The sequence below is a fragment of the Homo sapiens genome, chromosome 22, assembly GCF_000001405.40.
Source record: "Homo sapiens chromosome 22, GRCh38.p14 Primary Assembly".
Classification (NCBI taxonomy): domain Eukaryota; kingdom Metazoa; phylum Chordata; class Mammalia; order Primates; family Hominidae; genus Homo; species Homo sapiens.
In genome coordinates, this window is record NC_000022.11 from 43,743,265 (window position 1) to 43,760,254 (window position 16,990).

Genomic DNA, 16,990 nt, shown 5'->3' on the forward strand with positions numbered 1-16,990 from the left:
GGCAGGGTGGTTTGCCCACTGAAAGGCACATAACTGCTCTGGGCTGGAGCGACCCCCACTGGACAATCCCAGTGTATCAAATCGCCTCTTTGCCTCCTTCCTCTCCACAAGGGACCTGAAGGGCAGAATGATGTAGTGACTAGTCACAGGTGCTGAAATGAGGCTTCAAATCCCAGCTCCGCACCTGTTATTCAGGTAACCTGGGGAAAGCAGCCTGATTCCTCTAACTTCAGCTTCCTTGCCTGTGAAATGAGAATGAATAAGGATATAGGTGTGTGGTGTGTGCTTAAGATGAAAGGAGCTCATGTGTGCAGGTGCTTCACACACGGAACACGTTCAATAAATGGTGGTGAAATGAGAATTGCTGACTGGGATCAAAGGCTAAGAATAGAGATCCAAATAACCACACACCCATGTCAGGGAATATTAAGCGGCTGAAACGGCATTACTCTCCCCAACCCCAGTCCCTCCTTCACCCCTCACCCTCCACAGCACCATTGCCCAGACTAAGAAAACAGAAGCCTAGAGATGGAGGAAGGTCTTGAATAGGCATGAGTCCAGAGCCAAGACTAGGGCCTGGATCAATGAATAACTGTTAAGTGGATGGATGGATGGGTGGGTGAGTGGATGGATGGATGGGTGGGTGGGTGGATGAATGGATGGATGATGAATGAATGGGACAGATGGGTGAACGGATGGGTGGGTGGATGATGGATAGATAGGTAAATGGATGAATGAATGGATGAAGGGATGAATGATGAATGAATGAATGAATGAATGGGTTATGGATGCATGGATGGATGAACGGATGAATGGATGAATGATGAATGAATGAATGAATGAATGAATGGATGGGTTATGGATGGATGGATGGGTAGATGGATGGATGGATGATGGATAGATGGGTAGATGGATGAATGGATGGATGATGAATGAATGGATGGAAGGGCTATGGACAGATGGATGTGGGGATGGATGATGAAGGATGGATGGGTGGATGGATGAGTGGGTGGGTAGGTGGGGAGATTGCAAGCCAAGACAATCCTTGTAGAGACAGGACAGGAACCTGCAAAAAGGGTAGACAAGCATCTCATTTCCCAGTGGATTCAGTGATCTGCTCTGCACCTACCTGGGAAGAGGAACTGAGACTCAGACAGACACAGCAGAGCAAGGCAGAAGCAGCAGATGAAAGCAGCCTGAACACCTATTTTGGTATGGACGGGACTTGTGAATTTTCCATGGGTTAAGAGGACACCATGACAGGTAGAAATCTTGAGCTGTCCTGTTCCCAAGGGACTGCTCATCAGGGAAGGGGACCCAAGCAGCCAAAGGAAGTGAGCTGGACCACCAGGAGTGGGAGCTGAGGGGGTCCAGAGGGGGCTAAGTCAGGGCTGATCTTCCTCAACAGGAAACCATGAAGTTCAGAGGCCCCCAAAGCACTGTCCTAATTACTCCCCACGGACCCTATAGGAGAGCTTCCCAGAGAGGACCCAGATAAGGGAGAGAGAGACATGCTCTCCTTCCCCAGCCCTCATCACAGACCCCATGATCTGGGGGAGAGAGGAAGCAGAAAGAAGGAGGGAGGTACAGCCAGTGAGCAGGCCCTACCCACTCCAGGGCCCTCGGGCTTGGAGGAGCTGAGAAGGGCGTGCTGAACCAGCCCCACACTTGAGGTTTAAACTGAACTCGCCTGCACTGGACCTGTTTAGACCTAAATGTGACCAGAGAGCCACCAGATCTGCTGAAGATATTCCTATGGGACAAGAGAGGGAGATTCAGCAGCTCCTGTTGGAGAAAACTGAGAGCTAAGAAATCAAACTGCTTCATATTTGTACCCCACTGAGTTCAGATGGTTCCATAAACTGCTAACCATGGATGCTATTATTACTCCAGAGTTCTTTGTTTAAAATTCTTTTTATAGCACTTTGAGCTCCAGGAAGGAAAACTGTGAACTCAAATAAATCTGACCACCCAGGCTTTAAAGAAGATGAGAAAAGGCTGAATGTTTCCCCTCTGAAGCCCAGAATTCCCACTCCGCCTGGAAAACAATCCCTCTGGAGGCCTGGCACTAACGTGGCCCTTCCCGGAGGCAGGCCAAGCTTCTTCATGCCACAGCATAACCCGCAGACGAACTTAAACCTTCTACAATTTCATTCTTATTGGCTTCCGTGTAGCTGTTTTCTGTGCAGCTCCTCACCCGGAGCCACTTTTTCTCACCTGGCTTCTAAGAGAAGGGGGTCAGGAACCGCATCCCACCCGCCTGCCTGTAGACTGAGACTGAGTCCCAAGGGGAGGGGGCTTCGGGCACCCCCATGTCTTGGCTCAGCAGCAAGCGGAAGAGTTCAACACCCACGGCTGTCAGTCTGGCACCTTTCTGTCTCCACCACTAAATTCATTTTAAATTTAAGAAGTACAGATTTGAAATGAAACCATGAAAAAGGATTTCTCTTACAATAAACACATCAATGCTCATTTTCCTTATTATTCTACTTTTGGCTATTTTGTATAAAATCTTTAATTAAAGTTTTTCTTTGAAATTGTCATTATCAACCCAGAAGAAAGGAAGGGGGAAAAAAGAACAACACAGCTGTGCAGATATGAAGCACTATTCAGGACTAAATGAACTGGAACGAAATAAGTAGCTTGACTGTTATGTTCTTAGTTTTGGCTCTGTATTCTCAATAGCACAGTCTAACTTGTCACTTTATATCGATTCCATCTGTTTACACTCTGCAGAGTATTGGCTTCCTACCGTGAACATTTCCTATTTACCAGCTGGTAGAGATGCGCCAAACCAGATAGGAAAAAATTAGACTACATTCAGAACCTCATAAACACAAACTTCCAATCCGGGGACAAGCGGGAAGCGGGGGCCGGGCATCGCTCACCTTTCACAAAAGCCTCGCCTCCCTGCCTCTGGGCTGATGCTCTCATTGCTCTGGCAGTTGCCCTCGCAGGCCAAGGACTACAAATTTCTTTACTGACCATAGGCATACCCTGCCTTTACCAAAAATCGAAAAAGCTTACTGAAAAAGATATCCAAATAAGATCCACAAAAATGGAGAAAAGAAAGCTGACCCCGAAAAAATGAGCTAAAGAAACCTAAAAGTCATAGTTGACACAATGAAGCAAAACTCTGGTTCGGGGTCTCCTTGCAGCCAAGATGAAGAGGGAAACTCGTGCTTATATAAAGTCCACAGGCCATGTAAACCTTCCCCCACATTCAATTTTTCATTTTTAAAATGCTTACCTGTAACGTATAGCTTATAGACTTCTTTTAAGAAACTCTAGCTACCCATTGAGCTTACGATACAGCTATGAAAAGGTGCCCCGTCTATAAGCTGAGGGACTTACAAGGGTGCCAGGCTGGGTGCGGTGGCTCATGCCTGTAACCCCAGCACTGTGGGAGGCTGAGGCAAGAGGACTGCTTGAGGCTAGGAGTTCAAGACTAGCCTGGGCAATATAGTAAGACCCCATCTCTACAAAAAATTAGAAATTAAAATTTTAAAAAGGGCTGCTGATCTATAAGAAATCTTTCCTTTCTTTCCTTTCTTTCTTACCCAGCCCACACTCATAGGATGGGTACTCCACCTCAGCTGCCACGGGCCAAGAATCTTGGGGCCCCTAAGAGCCCTGGCCTCAGCTCACTCACAGGACAGAGCTGCACACCAGCAGGGGCAAGCCTGGAAGATCAGAAGCCACTATGCTGACCCAGCATCCTGCTGCTTATCTGGACCTCATGCAAGAGGATGCTGCTTTGAGAAAGACAAACCGCAGAAGACTGTTCAGGTTACGTGAAAAGTTTCCCAGGCTGGGCCAATGCTGGGTACTGCCAAGTGGCTGTAGCACTTTGCCAAGAGCCTAGCCAGCCACAGACCACCTCACCTAAGAAATAGACCAGAATCACATTTTAGAGTAGAAAAAGACTTTGTCTGTCGTCTCCCCCAGCATTTCCCAAAATGGCGTTCCTCCAAACACAAGTTCTTCTGGATCTAGAGCTAAACAAACACATGCACGGAAAGGCTGGCTGCAGCAACATTCAATAGATTTCTATACAGCAGCCTCCTCTGAGCCTTCACTATGCTAACGTACATTGTGAATCCTCAAGGACTAGGGGAACAGCACTGGAGAAGCTGGGGCCGGCTCTGGGGGACCAAATCTGCAGGACCTAGTGGTTAACTGTATGTAGAGGGTGAGGGAAAGGAAAGTCGAAGTGGCGCCCAGTTTCTGCCTTGGTGACCTGACTGGATAAGATCAACAATGTAGAATATGTTGCAGGTTTGGGGAGGAAGACTGTTAGCTCACTCAGTGCACACTCAGCTGGGAGTGCCTACGTCCTCCCCGTTCACCCCCGTAGACATCTTTCTTCCTGGCAAATTGATCCAGTTGGTGGGAGAACACCCACCCTGTGCCCTCCTGCCTGCCTTCTGTTCATTCATGAATTCCTAGACTTAATGAGCCCCTGCTATGTACACACCATCTGAAGTCTTACCCTTCCTCTAAGGCCTGGTTCAAACCAATCACCCTCCCTGGGTACCTCCCCAGTAGCCAATAGGGGTGACTTTCTCTTACAAAGTCTTAGAGAGTTTACTGTCCACATCTCTCAGCTGTCAGTATGAGCAACTTGTATCACTTTATTCCCTAACTCCTCCTGATCTAGGTGATATACCGCCCAATAAACACATTTTTAAACCATCATAATGTGTTGCTTACGCTTGTGTCCCCAAGGTGATTTTAAGTTTCTGGAGGACAAGAATCAGGCCTTAGTCTTCTTTGTATCCCCAATAACCACATGGTGTCCCCACAACACCAGTAGGTGCTCAACAAATGCAGACGATGATGGTAAGAGGGTGACCGATGACTTCCAAGCCTGGTAACAGGTACGCCTGACTCCAGTTGCTTTCCCAGCAAATGCACCCATGATGCTGCTGACAGCACTCTCCTAAATACATCATAACCCCCTTATCAGAAACCTTCAGTCATCCTCCTCCTGACCCATGCCGAAGGGTTAAAACCTGGCCTTCAAATGCATCTTTTCCGCCAGTCTACCTTTCAAAACTGATCTGTCCCAACTTGCCTTGAGAAACATAACTCTACAGAATAGCCGCAGGGCTTGTCTCCTTGCGGTGCTCTGGCCACAGCCCGGCTTCCCTCTCCTCATGTCCTTTTCTTAGGCCAGGTTGCAATTCTGAAAACTACCCCACATCTCTTCCCCTATCCCATCCTCAACGTGCATTGCAAGTCTATCTATGGTCCAAACTCAAGCTCCAATATCACCTTCCTCATCCAATTGTTCCTGGCTATTCCAAGGAATATGAACTTTTCTACAAAACTTTCTTTATTCATACAATAATTATTTACTGAGTGTATATCCGGCTCTAGGAACTGTTCAAGGCACTGAAGTTACCACAGTGGACAGGACAGAAAAGGTGCCTGCTCCCACAGAACACAGATCCCAGTCACAAACAAGCAAACAAACAACATTTCAGAATGTTCTACGTGTTACGGAAAATGTACAGTTTTAGGGTAGTCAAAAGACATCTCACTAGAGAGCTCTCTCGGGCAGAGCTCTGAAAGCTGGGACATTTAACTGAAGTGTACTCGATGCACAAGCAAAAGACATGGGTATGTTCACCAGAGAAGTCTGACGGGCTCTGGCTTATGTTTTGAACGGATAACTCTGGCTGTTGTGTGGAATGCAGATTATAAGGGGCAAGAGAGGCAACGGGAAACCCAGCTAAGGAGTCACTGACAAAGCACAGGCCAGCAACAATGGTGGCTTAGGTATAATGATGGCAGTAGGGATGGATCAGAAGTGTCCGGGTTTGGGATCTAGTTCAGGATACAGTAGACATAACTTGCTGACGGCCTGCATATGGGAGGGGCACTGGTAAGGGAGAGGTAATCAAGACTGGTCCTTGGTTTCTGCTTGAATGAATGATGAGTGGTAGAACCATTTACTGACCTGGGAGGAAGGATTCTTGGGGTGGGGCAGGAGGACAGTCACGAGTTACGTTTTTGTCTGTGGACACTGGTGAGTCTGGGGCCTCAGAAGGAGATATAAACGTGGGCACCCTCAGCATATAGCCCTCTTATTCTTCCCCTAGTAGCTTTCAATCCTAGAGCAGCAGTCCCTAACCTTCTGGGTACCGGGGACCAGTTTTGTGGAAGACAATTTTTCCATGGGCCAGTGGGGAGGGGGTATGGTTTCGGGATGAAACTGTTCCACCTCAGACCATCAGACACTAGTTAGATGGTTCTCATAAGGAGCGTGCAACGTAGATCCTCGCATGCGCAGTTCACAATAGGGTTCGTGCTCCTATGAGAAGCTAATGCCGCTGCTGATCTGACAGGAGGCGGAGCTCAGGCGGTGATGCTCATTTGCCCACCGCTCACCTCCTGCTGTGCATTCTGGTTCCCGACAGGCCACCAACCAGTACAGGTCTGCAGCCTGGGGGATGGGGACTGCTGCCCTAGATGATCGCATGCCATCCTTTAACTTCCCACGTAAGAACTCGCATGCTTTGTGTCCTCTAAATACAAACTCCTAATTTTGTTGAGTAACTTCTATGTGCCCAGCACTACGGTGAGTTCATTTTATATTTATTCTCACACAGAATCCCAATAACACTGAGAAAACCTTGCAATATTGTTCACCCAGTTCACAGATGGGGAAAGTCTCGAAAGAGGCAAGACTAGCTTGCTCAGGATCACTCAGAGAGTCCGTGTTGGTGTTCAAATGCATGCTTGGACTTGCTAAGGCCAGAGCTCCAGACTGTACCCCCACACCATGCTGCTTTAAACATTTACCCCTACAATCTTGCGTTTGCACTATTAATTTGTCACACACAGGAAGATTAAAAAAAAAACCTTAGTCCGAAATAATTGCAAATTCTGATATTGCAGAATCTTTGCTGTAGTTCCTTCATGAAAGCTTTAGTAAATTAATGATACAGCAACCAAAAATAGGTCCTGGGGTAGAAGTATTCTCAATATAATTTTTTAATAAAATGCCAACGGATTATTTTGTGGTGTGAGATTCTCTAGATCAAAATATAAGTGCTACTCTTCATTTAGATGCACGGAGACACAAGAATAAAAGCTGTGACATTATTAATCACTATATTCAGTTATGATTGATAGGCTTTTCTGCGGGGAGGAAACAGTGTCTCAGATACAATCTGTCCCAACAGCTCTACGATATGCTAATATTTTCTTCAGATGAAAGAGGAGATGTGTTCAAATACCTGCTACAATAGGCAATTAATACCAAGTGCAGCAAAGTAGAGCTGATGAAAGTAGGATTAGGGGAATATTAGGAATTAACCAAGAGCTTGCTTGTTTTAGTAAATGGCCTCATTTTGAGCTTGACACAGCCTTTTTGTTAGGCAAACAGACTGCATTCCTGTCTATTCATTCATGCTAATGTAGTGTTATAAAATTAAGGTGTGTTTATGAAATGGTGGTGATTCTAACAACTGATTCTTTATCCCTTGAATATTAAATTTTTAAATGTCTTTTTAAAGAAAATTCACCTCTTTAAGAGAATGAATCTACCCACCACTTTTGTCTCTTCTTCATGAGGATATTACAGAGCAAGCCAGCAGCTCAGCAATTATAATTATTTACTAATTACTTCTGAAATGACTATCTCCACACACCTCCAAGGCACCAGGGTAATCCCATAAAAACCTGTGTCAGATCACTCAGTGTCCAACAGACACGCTTGTCACAGCCGACTGGGTAGACCAGATGTTCTGGCATCATGGTGCCTGAACCTTCAAGCATTTTTTTCTTCTGAGAGCTCCCTGACTTGGGTAGTGACACGGTACAAGAGCAAACAGCCTGGGGCTTAGAATGCTTTGTTTTTCTTTATGTACTTCTTTAACTGAATATACATTCTTTAATTCTAGTCTTCAGTGAAGAACGTATTTTTTTTGTGAGGGGGAGAGTCACGACCTTCTGAACATACACTGTATTCCTATACAGGTCAGAATAGCTTTCTGTTTCTCAGTACTTCCCTCAACAGGGCTTACAATGAGCCCTCACCTCACCTTAGGTGGTAAGATGGGATTTTCTTCCTGTCTTAGCCACTCCTATCTTCACCTCTTGTCGGGAGTTGACAAATGATAGATGGAATAAAAAAACTTACACTTCGTTAGCCTGGCAACACACTGCATCTTTGTTCAAGTTCTTTCTCTCCTGGCAGTCCTCGCCTGAAGAATGTGAGGAAGCTGTCTGAGGTCTCGGGCGCTGCCACCACTCCAGGATGGAGCTGGGACCCCACAGGCAGACAGGGTGCATGAAAGACTGACGCGGTGGAGGAAGTGTGAAAGGCAGGACACCAGAGAGAAAAGGGAAGAAAACTCCCAAATGCCCACTTGAAGTAGATGCTCCATGGACAGAAAGGCAACTCTGTGGTTGGAACACAAAGCTCCACCGACTTGTGCGGTGATGATGAACAGAAAGACTTCTCTCTGTGATGGACTGGGTCTAACTACAGGTGTAACAAGTTGTCACATTTGCTGAATGCAAAGTAAGCATCAACATATGCCTGCTTAACCTCTTTTCTCTCAGCTTCCTTCCATATCAATATGGGATAACAACGGCACCTGCCTCATGGGGTTCACCTGGGAATTAAATGCCTTAATGCGATAAAGCACTTAGAACAGCTCCTAGTACGTGCTCAGTGCTAGCTATTATTACTAGAGTTGGCAAAATCTGAAAAATTACATTAATGTCCAAAAGATTAAGGCCCCACCAGCCAAGAGGGGTCCCTTATATAGGTAGCTGAAGCAGATGGATTGGTTGCCTTCCCAAATCCATTCACCTCTAACCACTTCTCCTTTCCATTTTTTTTTTTTTTTTTTTGAGATAGAGTCTCCCTCTGTTGCCCAGGCTGGAGTACAGTGGCACTATCTCGGCTTACTGCAACCTCTGCCTCCTGGATCCAAGTGATTCTCCTGTCTCAGCCTCCTGAGCAGCTGGAACTACTGGTGTGCGCCACCATGCCCAGTTAATTTTTGTATTTTTAGTAGAGACAAGGTTTCACCATGTTGACCAGGCTGGTCTTAAACTCCTGACCTCAGGTGATTCGCCTGCCTCGGCCTCCCAAAGTGCTGGGATTACAGGCGTGAGCCACCATGCCCGGCTGCCCACTTCTCCTTTCTAACAAAACCCTCTATTTTCCATTTTGTTCAGACATCCGCCCTTCTTGGGTGGCCATGTGCTTCATAGGAGGGAGCCCAGTGGCCACACCAGGTGGTGATTGAGGTTGGTCCTGGCTGCTGGCGGGAACCAATTTCCTTGCCCGTGATTGCTTTAGGTGTGGGGCATAATTCCAGGCTGTGGGACACAGGGAGGGACTTTCTCTTGTTTTTAGAGTCATATTGGGAAAAAAGGGCCCACTGAAAAAAATTTGACATCAAAGCATCTGCCTGGAGTGCTGGCAACCTCCTGGTAACCAGGAAGAGAGGTAGGTGTGTTAGTCAGTCCTAGTCTCCACGCCCTCCTGACTTCTTGGGTGAGATAAGAAGCTCCTTATTTTCTAAGATAGTTAACTTGGAGTCTTCGGTTTCTCATAAGGGAAAAAAACCAAACATCTCTGTGTCCAAGGGGTTGCCAGCTGGTGGCAGATAAAGACGGCCACAGCAAGGGTTTTAGTGGTGTTCAGCAAGGAGAACCAGCTTCACTCATCAGTAGGGGAAGGGACTCACATTTACTGACAATCTACTGAATGCAGGGGCTTTGCTTACATTCATTCTTGTCAGTACCCTGAAAGGTACTTTAGAGTTGTCTCCACTTTAGAGATGAGGAAACTCAGAACAAATGAGAAACCATCCACGGCACCCCACCGCCCCCAGCAGCAGAGGCAGGGTTTCAGCCCAGGTGTACCTGATTCTCCATAAATCCCTCTGGCTCCTAGGACATTATGGAGACAAAGAAGCTGAAGACCAGCAAACTCAACAGCCAGTCCAGGAGATGCTCAGGCAAAGGCACAGAGGAGCCACATGAAAGCAGAGGGTCAAGGTTGTGGCCAAAACGAAAAGCAAGGGCCAGGAGAGTGATAGCAAGTGAGGAATGCGCCAGGACTTAGCGTGGCTGTTGAGTGGAACCTGAGTGCAGATTAAACCAGAGCCAGGACCAGGTGGATCCCGAAGAGGACACGCTGAGAACCACCCTGGGCTTACAGAGACTCCTCCTCAAAACAGAGAGCGCCTCTTCCCATGAAGCCATGGGACACAGTCACCAAGGATGGAGAGATGAGACCCAGAGGTCATCCAATCTGGCCTTCTCCCTTGACTTATAGAGACAATGAGGCTCAGAGAGCCCAAGGGTTCGACTGGATAAGAGCATGAACATGAGCGTCGGTTGGAGGGTCTGAGGGCCTGTGAAGAAGAGAGAGGCTGACAAATCAGCCATCAGACCAAGCTCATTGCAGAAGAAAACAATTAGGAAATAGGAGTGCTGGGGTTCAGCTGGTTTGGGGTTCCCACTGCTAATTATTTGCTGGTGTAGGAAGGCTGGTCCAAACATGCATGAGCAGAGTCTGGCTCCAAAAATTCAGAGACATCTGCATGCATTCTTGGCTCCAGTAAGCCACGTGGGCTCATATTTAAAATAAAATAATTAGCATTCTTTCATTCCCAAACTGTAACCATCACCCAGCAATGACATGTGTATGAAGAGAGGCTTACTTAGATCATTCCTAAGTCTTTTTCTCAGTCTCCAACATTAGTGTGTGACCGTTAGAAGGGTCAGAGTCTTCATTAGAAGCATGCTACTGCACAAAGCACACAGTTGAGGGGTGTACTGATTTGTTCTCTTTATTTGGAGGTGGAGGGGCTGGAAAGGAATGAGATTCATTTGTGTTCCTACCTGTACTTCAAAGGAAGCTGTAGGGATAAGCATAATAGTAACAGCTGGCATTTATTAAGTGTTCCAGGTGCTTTATTCTGGATATTTTTAAGCCACACAGCAGCACGTCAAGGTGGTGGCTGTTATCCCCACTGACAGGTGAAAAAACCTAATGATGAGGGCTTGCCTGAGACCACGTGGTTGGTAAATAGCAGAGCCCCAGGATGGAAACCCAGGTCTGCCCGGGTCCCGGGGTCAGTCTCCTCCAACCTCCCCTGCCTGCCCAGGGTTGGGGTCATAGGTAGAATTTGGGCTACAGTCTGTGCTGGCTGGAACACACGGCAGAAAAAACCCTCCAGTGCTCTGGTACTAAGCATTACCTTTTCCCTTCACCTGTTTGTTCTCATAGGCAATTGAATGAAAACTGCCTGGGTTTCAACTCTTAGCAGGGGGTTCCATGGGGAGGAGGATGGGATAAAAAATTAACTGAAAGGATGGACAGCAATGGAGTTCCATTTCAGATTTGCTCACCACAGCCTTATTTTGGGCCATTTACAATCCTGGCCTTTGTCTGCATCTCCACACTCAAGGTCATGTTGCATTACTGGTCCTTAACAATGTTTCTGCTGCTGTGATAATTGTCATAAACAATGGACTTTTCCAGAAGCATATCATGATGAACACAGTTTAAAGAGTAAGAAGACATATACCCCTAAGTAATATCAATTGCACGACAAAACTCTTGCAGAATAACAAATGGGTCACAGCAAAAGCAGCAGACAATTATACCTGGGTTCTGAATAATATCAACTATAGTGAAACAGGTTTTTAGAAACACATAATGCTAAGAAATTATCATATTGAGATGAATTTTCTGGTGTTAATGGTATCAGCTAGGGAAATTGAGACAAACATTTTGTGGATCTCTGGCTATTTTTGAGTATGAAATATATGAGTCTCAGAAGAGTTCAAAAAAGAAAATTTGTCACATTTCAAACCAACATATTGAATCAAATAAATTAAACCATGATTCTCAAACTGCTCATGTAACTGACAGGCCCAAATGCATTTTAAAAAGGAGTCTGATTCCAACCCTTGAATGACATTATCATCTCCTCCCCGCCTTAGCTGTGTGCTGTGAGATCTAACCACAATCAGCAAATAGGAACGATGCTATATGCTCTTTTTCTAAACACATAGTAGCTTTCATGGCTAAATTACTCAATACTTAAGTATATATCACTTTGAGTTTGACTGGTTATTTTTACTATGCAGCTCTTGATTGGCATTGACTGCTGCAAAGCAGTCGTTTTCCCTTTCTAAAGAAAAACCTACTCAGTCTTAGACAAAGACAGAAAAGGCAGCCCTACTAATAATGATCTAAAGTTAATACAAAAGTAATTAATATTCCAGGACTTCTGCTGGTGTCACTCATCAAAAGAGATGCCATCCAAGACAGTCAAAGTAGTCGGAATACAAGCTTTCGCACTGGCTTGTTATCAGAAGATCTATTTAGTCAGACAACTATGACATGAGAACTCGGATGACAAGGTGTGGCTCATTTTCTATCATCTACCTCCACTAACAATTACTGCTGACAATGGGTGGGGTGGGGGGAAATCATTTCTTTAAAATCTCTATTACCTTTTCTCCCACTTGGATTTCAAGTTCTCTTAATGTGCGGCAGCAATTCATTTCATTCCCACCTCCCCTTAGAAATAAAAAAAAAATCTTTATTAAAACATTTTAACCAAATAAATGTTTACATAGGATATGCAGAGATCAAAATTACAAGGATTTCCAAATAATCTATTTTAAAATGCAAGGTATTTCTTACAAGCTACTGTCTGCAGGAGCATGAAACTGGGCAAATTACTTTGTTTCCCCTGGCCTGTTTTCTCATCCATAAAATGAAATATAGTAGCATTTACTCCTCCTAAGGTAATGTGCAAATTAAATACTTACAGCTGACACTTAATGAGGACTTTCTGTGTCCCAAGCCTTCACAAGCCTCGTCCCATTTAAGCCTCTCAACAGCTCTATGGATTTGGGACCATTATCATCCCTGCTTTACCGAGGAGACTGACGGGGATCTTAATAGATGAGGAAAATGAAGGTCACATGTGAGGAAGTGGAGGCGCCAGCATCAGACCCAGGTGCTCTGGGTTCAGATCCAGCTCCTAACCTCTCTGCTGCAGCTGCAGCACTTTGACCTGACCACTGTCGGGCTCTACGTCCCCTTAACGGCTCACTTTCAGCTGCTCAGTGAAGGGCTTCGTGGTCAATGCATCTATACCGTCCCTGGGTTCCATCTGCTTGTCCCTATTCACTGGTTTTTATTTTGCATTATCTGTGTATCTACAAACCACTGCAGAGCCCCTCCTTGGGACAAACTGGTAGGGTGAGGGTGGGAGGAGAACACGAGGAGGCAGAGCTGGCGCCCCTCCACTTTACAATGTCTGTCCATGCCTCCTACCTGCCAGGTCTAGGGCCGTGGTGCTAAGGAAGACACTGCCTGTACTGGTGACAGTGACGAATGGGAAATAAGCAAACAAGTAATGTGAGCTGAAATAATAAAAGGTGCCATGAAGAACATAAAGATGGGCAGGGAGATAAATTGGAGATGGGGGAAGATGGGATGACTCTTTGGATGGAGTGGGTAGCAGAAGGTCTCTCTGGCCAAGTGTCTTTTGGATAGAGGCCCACAAGGTGAAGGGCCATGAAGCCTTCCAGGCAAAGCAAAGGGAACAGGCAGCTGGTATGAAGCCCTTGGCTGGCAGGAGCTCAGCAGACCCCAGGGTCAGCAGGAAGGAGGCCAGGGAGACCAGAGCTGGATGGGCAATGAGAAGGTGTGCAGGCTATGTTCAGATGGAGGCAGATGCCAGGCTCGTGAGTCTGTGGGCCATGATAAGGAGTCGACTTCAAAGGGTAAGGGGAAGACACTGGAGTGCTTAGCAGAGATTGAATTCCTTACATAGGAGGAAACTGAGTCTCAGAGGGGTTCTGTTCCCAAGTTAAAGATAGGACTGATCAGGAATTCAAATCTATAATGCTACGTTAAATGTAATCTCTTAAATACTGTTTCAATAATATATTCAATAGATACAAAACGCTATTTGTAAAATGTTTAGGAATTAAAGAATAAGCCAAGCATGGTGGCTCACGCCTGTAATCCCAGCACTTTGGGAGACTGAGGCGGGAGGATCACCTGAGGTTGGGAGTTGGAGGCCAGCCTTACCAACATGGAGAAACCCCATCTCTACTAAAAATACAGAATTAGCCGGGCGTGGTAGGGCATGCTTGTAATCCCAACTACTTAGGAGGCTGAGGCAAGAGCATCACTTGAACCCGGGAGGCAGAGGTTGCGGTGAGCCGAGATCACACCGTTGCACTCCAACCCGGACAACAACAGCGAAACTCCATCTCAAACAAAAAAAGGAATTAAATAATAAAAATTAAACAAATGCTTGTTACTTAACCCCCGCCCCCATCCAGCTGCAGCAATGGAACACAGCCTTGGAACTCCAGGAAGCCTTCCCTTCCCAATCACATCCTCCTGCCTAGTTCTAGCCAAGCTGGTCAAGGCTTTGTCAGGTCTGCATTGCAGTTCAGCCTCTCCCTCTGCTTAATCCTGCTTCAGCCTGCTTCCCTTTACAGGTGTTTTTCCTTATCTACATCTTGCTTCCCAAACTCCATCTCAGTGTCTGCTTCAGGAGAACCCAGCCTATGACCATTTATTGTCAGATACTAACTTAGTGACACTAGCTTTCCTTAGATTAATATTGAATGGTATGTCTTTTTAAATCTTTTCACTTTTAATCTTTCTTTATGTTTGAGTTTAGGTTTTTCTCTTACTGGATTTCACTATTTGTTATCTAGACAGACAATCTTTGTCTTTTAAGTGGACTACATGATAATTGAATCCTTAAGTCTTAAAATTTATTTTGCCAGAAATTAATGTAGTTACACTTTCTTTTGTTTATTTTTTCTATTACATAATTTTTCTATCCTTTTTCTTTTAGTCTTTTTAATCCTTTCTATTTTCAAAAAGTCAATAACTGGAATTTTTATCCAGTCTGATAATCTCTGTCTTTTAACTGAAATATTTGATCCTTTGCATTTAATGTAGTCATGTTATATACAGAGGGGGGTAGGTCTATAAATTTGTGTTCTCTATTTGTAGTATCTGTTGTAGATTTTTTTCCCCTTTCTTACCTTCTTTTGGATTGAGTATTTTAAAATCATTTCAATTTTTCTTCCAAATGTTGGGAATTAAATACTTTGTTTCTATTCTTTAGCAGTTACCCTAAAAATCACAATGTGCATATATAACATTTCAACATATAAAATTAATATATTTATCCTCCTGCTGGCTATCAAATAGATCTTAGAAAACTTTAACTCAATTTATCCACACTCAGCTGACTATTGTCTAATGTTTTAACTCTAAACTTTTTATTTAACACACATAGACATTTTTGTAACCACCTTATATAGCCAAAAATCATTTCTATTTACCCATATTTTGCCACTTTCTTTGCTTTTCACTCCTAAAATCTCAGACCTTTCATCTAGGATTACTTTCCTTCTGCTTCTAGCAGAATCAAGATCTTTCAGTCAAGATCTGCAGGAGATTAACTGTCTCAGTTTTTGTCTGAAAAATGTCTTTAACCCTCAGTTTTTATTTTTAAAATGTTTTCTTACTTTTTATGTCTATAATATTCAAAAATTCAAAATAAGCTGTCCAAATCAAATTAACCTTTAGAGGCATACAAATTCAAGATGTTTTGCAACAGGCTTTTAAAAAAATATAGGTTCTGGCTGGGTGCAGTGGCTCACGCCTGTAATCCCAGCACTTTAGGAGGCCAAGACTGGCGGATCACCTGAGGTCAGGAGTTCGACACCAGCCTGACCAGCATGGTGAAACCCTGTCTCTACTAAAAATACAAAAATTAGCCTGGCATGGTGGCGTACGCCTGGCCAAAAGCCTTTCTTATTTCTTTCTTCTCTTCCACAGGCTAGAGTCAGCTAGACCTGCCTAAAGTCAGCTTCACATCTACTCTGTGAACTAATGCTCTGTTGATGCTGTTTCCTTTATCCATCTGAATCTCTGATACCTAGACTGCCAAAGAATCTTGCAATACACAGTACTGGTGAATAGATTTAGCTTCAACAGAATTCTCAGGTTCTTTAGGAGATTTTTCTTCAGAACTCTCAGTAAGTCTTCTTGTGTGGTGCTCAGAAAGCTTTTAAACACTTCTGCTGAGATTTATAATGACCGTTTTGTACACGAACGATTGTAGTTATTCTTCATGGAAGTAGCATCGTACCAAGTGCCACACGGATTATCTAATATGCAAGGGGCCCTCTCCGTCCATATGTAGAAATGTCCTACACGTCCATCTGAAGCAAATCTCAAAAGGTTCAGCCTGATCATTTTAAGCAAAATCATTCATTGGGTGTTTCTGAAGAGATGATGATGTTTCTACCATTATTATAGATGATACAAGGTCCTCTATGCTCGATACAATAATTCCACATTTTGCCCTTACCAGCTCTCATATACTCAGAGACAGAGACTTTTAAAATATGATTCCAGGTCATACCTTTTTAATCTTCATGCTGCTTCCAACTTAACCAACTACTATCGGATATTCAGAAACTTCCTCAATATGGTGATTTTGATACATGACAAGGTCTGGCAAGGCCAGGACAGAAGAGATGGCATACTCTTTCTGTGTTATGTTCACTGTATGTTATCAATGGCATTAAGTTTTGGCTGGTATAAAATGTGATATCCCAGCCGGGTGTGGTGGCTCACGCCTGTAATCCCAGCACTTTGGGAGGCTGAGGTGGGCGCATCACCTGAGGTCAGGAGTTTGAGACCAGCCTGGCCAACATGGCAAAACCCCATCTCCACTAAAAGTACAAAAATTAGCTAGTGTGGTGGCACACACCTGTAATCCCAGCTACTTGGGAGGTTGAGACAGAAGAACCGCTTGAACCCAGGAGGCAGAGGTTGCAGTGAGCTGAGATCGCACCACTGCACTCCAGCCTGGGTGACACAGCAAGACTCTGTCTCAAAAAAAAAAAAAAAAGAAAAAAGAAAAAAAAAGAAAACAAATATAAGTAT

General features: G+C 44.7%; 1 protein-coding gene and 1 pseudogene across 21 annotated transcripts in view; both read right to left on the bottom strand.

Moving 5' to 3' along the window:
• The window catches only part of EFCAB6 (EF-hand calcium binding domain 6), a 283,528-nt gene that overhangs the window by 214,487 nt on the left and 52,051 nt on the right, over positions 1–16,990 (bottom strand). For 16 of the 21 annotated variants that reach the window (XR_007067980.1, XM_011530319.4, XM_011530317.4 and 13 more), the window contains one exon: positions 12,502–12,568. The exons of 2 other annotated variants lie outside the window; for them this stretch is intronic. Coding sequence is in view for 16 of the 19 variants with exons in the window: in XM_011530319.4 (XP_011528621.1) it covers positions 12,502–12,568 (67 nt within the window). In the remaining 3 variants the exon portion in view is untranslated. Of the gene's footprint in view, positions 1–12,501; positions 12,569–12,822; positions 12,951–16,990 lie in introns of those variants that run through there. 3 more of the 21 variants (XM_047441461.1, XM_011530325.3, XM_011530323.3) reach the window with 3 other exon arrangements.
• On the bottom strand, positions 15,951–16,658 carry LOC100419506 (ribosomal protein L4 pseudogene; annotated as a pseudogene).